The sequence below is a fragment of the Homo sapiens genome, chromosome 10, assembly GCF_000001405.40.
Source record: "Homo sapiens chromosome 10, GRCh38.p14 Primary Assembly".
Classification (NCBI taxonomy): Eukaryota; Metazoa; Chordata; class Mammalia; order Primates; family Hominidae; genus Homo; species Homo sapiens.
The window spans coordinates 72,669,214-72,676,972 of NC_000010.11; the positions used below are offsets into that span (position 1 = coordinate 72,669,214).

Here is a 7,759-nt window from a genome sequence, read left to right on the forward strand (position 1 = left end):
AAACCCTGTCTCTACTAAAAATACAAAAAATTAGCCAGGCGTGGTGGTGGGAGCCTGTAATCCCAGCTACTCGAGGGGCTGAGGCAGGAGAATTGCTTGAACCTGGGAGGTGGAGGTTGCAGTGAGCCAAGTTTGCTCCACTGCACTCCAGCATGGGTGACAGAGCAAGACTCTGTCTCAAAAAGAAAAAAAAAAAAGGCTCTAAGTGATTCTTAGGCAAATTAATATATGTGAAAAGTGAATTAAGACAATAAGTACACATGGCTCTATTGTTCAATTGTTCGCAATGCTTTAAGTCTCAGGAGCATTATGAAAGGTTTATTGCAAAATATATAATATACTCAAGGGCATGTACATGTATATTTTCAATCACTTTATGTTTTATATTCTTTGCATTTATTTGCTTCAAAGAGAAATATTTCTTCTTTCAATTCATAAAATATCTTCCCAAGAAGAACTTTGCATGGATGTTTTTGTCACTTTTAAATCTTAAAAAATATTTTTCCATCAGACTCTGAGACATTGGAAATATTTCAGACAATACTAGAGAACTCAACAGCATGGGCTGGCACGGTGGCTCACGCCTGCAATCCCAGCACTTTGGGAGGCCAAGGCAGATGGGTCACCTGAGGTCAGGAGTTCAAGACCAGCCTGGCCAAGATGGTGAAACCCCATCTCTTCTAAAAATACAAAAAAAATTAGTTAGGTATGGTGGCAGGTGCCTGTAATCCCAGCTACTTGGGAGGCTGAGACAGGAGAATCGGTTGAACCCAGGAGGCAGAAGTTGCAGTGAGCCGAGATCACGCTACTGAACTCCAGCCTGGGCGACAGACTGAGGCTCCATTTCAGACAAAAAAAAAAAAAAAAAAAGAGGCCAGGCATGGTGGCTCACATCTGTAATCCCAGCACTTTGGGAGGCTGAGGTGGGAGGATCACCTGAGGTCGGGAGTTTGACACCAGCCTGACCAACATGGTGAAATCCCATCTCTACCAAAAATACAAAATTAGCCAGGTGTGGTGGCTCATGCCTGTAATCCCAGCTACTCAGGAGGCTGAGGCAGGAGAATCACTTGAACCTGGGAGGCAAAGGTTGTGGTGAGCTGAAATGGTGCCATTGCGCTCCAGTCTGGGCAACAAGAGTGAAACTCTGTCTCAAAAACAAACAAACTAACATTAAATGAATGAATGAAGATCTGTTCTCAAGCAGTTTATAGGTTTTATTTTTTTTAATGTTATTTATTTATTTATGTTTTCAGATAGAGTCTTGCTCTGTCACCCAGGCTGGAGTGCAGTGGCATGATCTCGTCTCACTGCACCCTCCGCCTCTTGGGTCCAAGAGATTCTCCTGCCTCAGCCTCCCGAGTAGCTTGGATTACAGATGTGTGCCACCATGCCCAGCTAATTTTTGTATTTTTAGTAGAGACAGGGTTTCACCATGTTGGCCAGGCTGGTCATGAACTCCTGGCCTCAGGTGATCCACCCTCCTTGACCTCCCAAAGCGCTGGGGTTACAGGCATGAGCCACTGCGCCAGGCCAGTTTCTAGGTTTTCTATGGGTACCCGTTGTAACCAAAGTCACTGGATTTTCTACCTTTTAACTCCAGTTTCCTGGTGACTAATTTCCAATACTAGTTGCCAGGCATCTACAGTTCTGATCTGCCTACAGGGAGCTCTGTCAGTTACCAGCCTAACCCTATATCTTGGGTCTCATTTGGTTGGGATTTTTTGGAACTTATATTCCTCTGTTTTTTTTTTTTTTTTGAGACAGAGGCTCTGTCGCCCAGGCTGGAGTGCAGTGGCGCGATCTGGGCTCACTGCAAGCTCCGCCTCCCGGGTTCACGCCATTCTCCTGCCTCAGCCTCTCCGAGTAGCTGGGACTACAGGCGCCGGCTACCACGCCCGGCCAATTTTTTGTATTTTTAGTAGAGACGGGGTTTCACCAGGGTCTCGATCTCCTGACCTCGTGATCCGCCCGCCTCGGCCTCCCAAAGTGCTGGAATTACAAGCGTGAGCCACCGCGCCCGGCCTATTCTTTTTGGCCCATAAATTGATCTTTCTGTTTCAGACTCATCTTTGAATTAATAGCGCTTCACATCTTGATCCGAGAATATTTCCCTTCGCCATTTGAGCTTTGCATTTAGTAGTACTCGTTAATGTGACCATGTGATTGTATAACAAAATACATAATAATCACAATCTTCAAAAATTATAATGGATATTGTAAGGATAATAATCCTTTTACTGGTAGGATATTACTTATTATCTTCCACCCTTCTGGTATTTACATGAGACTGGTGAATACCCCTTTACATTTCCTAGGTTTAACACACACACACAAAACTAAACAGATTTTAAGCTCTCTATCAACTGTTGTTGGATTCTAAGATCCCTCACTACCAACACACCTTTCTGAAGCACTTTGCAAAAATCCTGGAATAGCTAGGATCAACTGAGTAGTATCCTTATTTGATAGCTGGTGTTTGTTACCTAGACAACATGGCTATAGACAGCTCTGAATTAATAAGCTGCTTCTTGGTTAGGGATAATAATATGAATCAGAAGAATTTTTAATTGCCAACAATCTTGCGGAATAATTTTGTTTTCTTAAAGCCTGTTCTCTGTAGCCTATTCTATTTCTGCAAATGTTCTGCAAAGAATGACAGTATAAATAGTAATATTTTCCAAATAGAATTGATCTGGCTCAAACTCACAGAGTACTAAGTACCTAAAAGTGCCAGTAGAAATAATTGAAAGGACATTCCTCTTTATATAGAGATGTTCTAGAGAGATCCAAGATCTTTTATAGCATTGATGCCAATTCCCTGATCATTACTACATTTTTGTGGGGGAGGAGGGAGGAAGATGAGTAAATGCTTTATCATTTCTTTCATAGATAAATAAACTGGGGTACCAAATTGGCCAATTTCTTGTCTGAGACCATAATGGTACATCAATTGCAGAAATAACATTGCTGCATCCTCTTATTTGTTAGCTAACAGAGTGTTTTTTCTGAATTTCATTGCTAACATAATTGAGATCCCCAGTAATAATAGGAGATGGTGAGGGCAGAGTGATGATAATGAGCCAGAGATAGAACTGAAAATAGAGTCCAAGGCTTTTAACTCCTTGCTCATTGATCCTGCCATTAAGCTGCAAGACTAAATTACTGAATTTCATCAAAAAGTGTTACCCTAATGCTATGAGAGGCTAACCAGCATTAGTACTTTTCATTATATATGAGCAGAATAATTCATTTTTTTAGCCTACCTGAGGGGAAAAAAATCTCCAATGGAAATTCTTTTTGGACATTGTTGTTTTTTCTATTTCAGTATTTACTTGTGTGATACAAAAGGATCTCGGTTGACTGAAGCTTGTTAGGAGTCAGGAAATAATAAAGACATTACGAGTTAAAAACAATCATCTCTTTGCTTAAAGAAGGTGTGAATCAGCAAGCTGGAAAGCTCAGTTTTTCAGTGTGTTGGTTAGTCTATTGTCAGTCTGAAAGGTAATGTGGTCCATTTCAAGCTCTGAGAATAGAGCAGGGAAGAAGAGGAGAAAATAGAAGAGAAGGAGGGGGGCCATCTTTTGTCCTACATTTAAAACATCTGTTGCTTAACCTTACAAATATGGATAAAAGAGACCAGTCAGAAATCATGAGGCTTTTCACCTAATTTGAAAAAGATTCTAAGAGATACAATACAGTGAGATGAGTTCTTTTTTTTAAATTAAAAAAAATTTTTTTGGTAGACATGGGGGTCTTGCTTTGTTGCCCAGGCCAGTCTCTAACTCCTGGCTATAAGCAATACCTCCCACATTGGCCTTCCAAAGTGCTGGGATTACAGGAATAAGCCACTATGTCTGGCCAGTGAGATGAGTTCTCATTATATAAGCTGACACTTGGTCCCCTCCTCAGGCATACAGGTATTTGCAAGGGCACAGGCATTTGCACTGCTTAAAGGGATATAAAACTCATATAGACTTCTTCAACAGTGAAACTTTTCATATAAATCAGAATTCCAGAAAGGTAGGAGCCGAATGAACAAAGATCTCATTTCTTCATAATTCTTTCTTAGTTTTTTACAATAAATTAGAAGATGCAGAAACATCTTTAGTGTAACATTCTTGTTTTAATTAAACTGACATTTTTTAGGGTGTCATATAGCTTTATGTACATTATCTTTTTCTTTTTTCTCTTTTACATCTTTACAACAGCCTAGAGGATTGAGTATTCTCATTTTACAGGTTGGGAAGCAGAAGTTGAGTAGCAGTTTCAAAGGTCACACAGATTGCGTGGTAGTAGATCTAGATTTACAATCTATGTCTCCAAAACCACTTTCAATATTCTTTCTACTATCTTTTCTTAGAAGGCTTTGGCAATATTTTTATTTTTACCTTTGAGGAGATTTATTTTTCTTTCTTTTTTTTTTTTTTTTGAGACAGGGTCTTGCTCTGTCATCCAGGCTGGGGTGTAGTATCACGATCATGATTCATGGCAACTTTGACCTCCTGGGCCCAAGTGATCCTCCCAGCTCAGCCTCCCGAGGAGCTGGGACCATGGGAGAAAGAACGCCACCATGCCCAGCTAATTTTTGTACTTTTTGGAGAGACAGGGTTTTGCCACGTTGCCCAAGTTGGTTTCCAACGTTGCCCAAGTTAGTTTCCAACTTCTGGGCTTAAGACATCCTCCTGCCTCAGCCTCTCAAAGTGCTGTGACTAAAGGCATGAGCCACTGCACTCTGCCTGAGGCAATTTCTAGATAAACTTTAAGCTGCTTGATGGTTTTTGAGAAACGGATGCAAGAATATTTATTTTACATCTTTTTCTTTCTTTCAAATTACACTTTAAGTTCTAGGGTACATGTGCACAACGTGCAGGTTTGTTACATAAGTATGCATGTGCCATGATGGTGTGCTGCACCCATTAACTCGTCATTTACATTAGGTATATCTCCTAATGCTATCCCTCCCCCTTCCCCCACCCCACGACAGGCTCCGGTGTGTGATGTTCCCCTTCCTGTGTCCAAGTGTTCTCATCGTTCAATTCCCACCTATGAGTGAGAACATGTGGTGTTTGGTTTTTTGTCCTTGCAATAGTTTGCTGAGAATGACGGTTTCCAGCTTCATCCATGTCCCTACAAAGGACATGAACTCATCATTTTTTATGGCTGCATAGTATTCCATGGTGTATATGTGCCACATTTTCTTAATCCAGTCTATCATTGATGGCCATTTGGGTTGGTTCCAAGTCTTTGCTACTGTGAATGGTGCCACAATAAACATACGTGTGCATGTGTCTTTATAGTAGCATGACTTATAATCCTTAGGGTGTATACCCAGTAATGGGATTGCTGGGTCAAATGGTATTTCTAGTTCTAGATCCTTGAGGAATCGCCACACTGTCTTCCGCAATGGCTGAACTAGTTTACAGTCCCACCAACAGTGTAAAAGTGTTCCTATTTCTCCACATCCTCTCCAGTACCTGTTGTTTCCTGACTTTTTAATGATCGCCATTCTAACTGGTGTGAGATGGTATCTCATTGTGGTTTTGATTTGCATTTCTCTGATGGCCAGTGATGATGAGCATTTTTTTAAGTGTCTGTTGGCTGCACAAATGTCTTCTTTTAAGAAGTGTCTGTTCATATCCTTTGCCCACTTTTTGATGGGGTTGTTTGTTTTTTTCTTGTAAATTTGAGTTCTTTGTAGATTCTGGGTATTAGCCCTTTGTCGGATGAGTAGATTGCAAAGATTTTCTCCCATTCTGTAGGTTGCCTGCTCACTCTGACGGTAGTTTCTTTTGCTGTGCAGAAGCTCTTTACTTTAATTAGATCCCATTTGTCAATTTTGGCTTTTGTTGCCATTGTTTTTGGTGTTTTAGACATGAAGTCCTTACCCGTGCCTATGTCCTGAATGGTATTGCCTAGGTTTTCTTCTAAGGTTTTATGGTTTTAGGTCTAACATTTAAGTCTTTAATCCATCTTGAATTAATTTTTATATAAGGTACAAGGAAGGGATCCAGTTTCAGTTTTCTACATATGGCTAGCCAGTTTTCCCAGCACCATTTATTAAATAGGGAATCCTTTCCCCATTTCTTGTTTTTGTCAGGTTTGTCAAAGATCAGATGGTTGTAGATGTGTGGTATTATTTCTGAGGGCTCTGTTCTGTTCCATTGGTCTATATCTCTGTTTTGGTACCAGTACTTTGCTGTTTTGGTTACTGTAGCCTTGTAGTATAGTTTGAAGTCAGGTAGCATGATGCCTCCAGCTTTGTTCTTTTGGCTTAGGATTGTCTTGGCAATGCGGGCCCTTTTTTGGTTCCATATGAACTTTAAAGTGGTTTTTTCCAATTCTGTGAAGAAAGTCATTGGTAGCTTGATGGGGATGGCATTGAATCTATAAATTACCTTGGGCAGTATGGCCAAGCAATGTATAGACATTAGACCATTAGACATCAGATTGTGAGTCTTTTTTTTTTTTTTTTTTTTTGCAATAAGGTAGAAATGCATTTCTTCAAATGTGTCTGGGTACTATATGCCTATTTGTTTGGCATTCACCAAGGGTACTATAAGTTGAAAATGATAGTTGCAGGTAGAATCCTAAAGTTAGAACTGGGAGTTGACTTGCTATAAACGATTTCCTATGCTTTCTAAACAAGCTGGAGAAGGACGCTAGTGAATTCACTGAGCTACAAACTTTTTTTTTTTTTTTTTTTTTTTTGAGACAGGGTCTTGTTCTGTCATCTAGGCTAGAGTGCAGTGGTGTGATTCTCAGGTCACTGCAGCCGAGAATCTCTTGGGCTCAAGCAATCCTTCCACTTCAGCCTCCCAAGTAGCTGAGACTAGAGGGGAGCTACCACCACACCTGACTAATTTTTTTGAAAATAACTTTTTGTAGAAACGAGGTCTCACCATGTTACCTAGGCTGGCCTCAAATTCCTGGGCTCAGGAGATCTTTGGCAAGTTACTTCTCAATGTCACATTTGTTTTTCATTGGAAAAATGGAGGCTAGTGTAGTATTTTTCTCACGGGGATATTGTGAGGATTAAACAAGAAGTTATAATGTAATATCTATACAGCACCCAACACAACACCTTACTAACAGCTGGTACTCAATATCAAACAGTATTTCTTTCTTTCAGGTTTTAGAAAAATAGTTTAAAATCTAGAGTTAATTAACCTTCTTATGACCTTGTTAAAGGGTCTGCTTCCATATGCTGCTTGCCAGATGGCCCACTTACAAATGAGAAGCCAACAGCTCACCTGTGATAAATCAGCCCATTGAAGGTCAATGCAGTGAAGTAAACGGGGTTCGCATAACTGCGAATGTGCAACTGCACAAACTCAAGGAAGCAATTTTCAGTGACAGGGCGTGGTAGAGTGAGACAAGAAAAGCATGAGTCAGAAGACCTCAATTTGACTCAGCTCAGCACATAATACTTAACCTCTTTGAATGATTTCTTAGTTATGTGCCTTAGGGAAACTACTTAAGCTCTTTGGATCATTATTTTTCTCATCTGTAAAACTGGGATGAGAATATACAATTCATGGAGTTTTTTGTGATCACGGTGACTGCACAGAGTAGGGGCTCAGTAGATTCAGTGAGGGCTGCAGCTAGGCAGTGTGAATATTAGTTCCCTTCTCATTTTCTTTTTTTTTTTTTTTTGAGACAGAGTCTCGCTCTGTCGCCCAGGCTGGAGTTCAGTGGCGCGATCTGGGCTCACTGCAAGCTCCGCCTCCCGGGTTCACGCCATTCTCCTTCCTTAGCC

The 7,759-nt window shown here is 40.6% G+C and overlaps 1 annotated feature.

Moving 5' to 3' along the window:
• Positions 7,238 to 7,532: a silencer, noted in NCBI's record as "tiled region #12193; HepG2 Repressive non-DNase unmatched - State 23:Low". NCBI's record gives its function as "represses a minimal TATA promoter and a strong SV40 promoter by Sharpr-MPRA in HepG2 cells {active_cell/tissue: HepG2}" and the evidence as "EXISTENCE:reporter gene assay evidence [ECO:0000049][PMID:27701403]".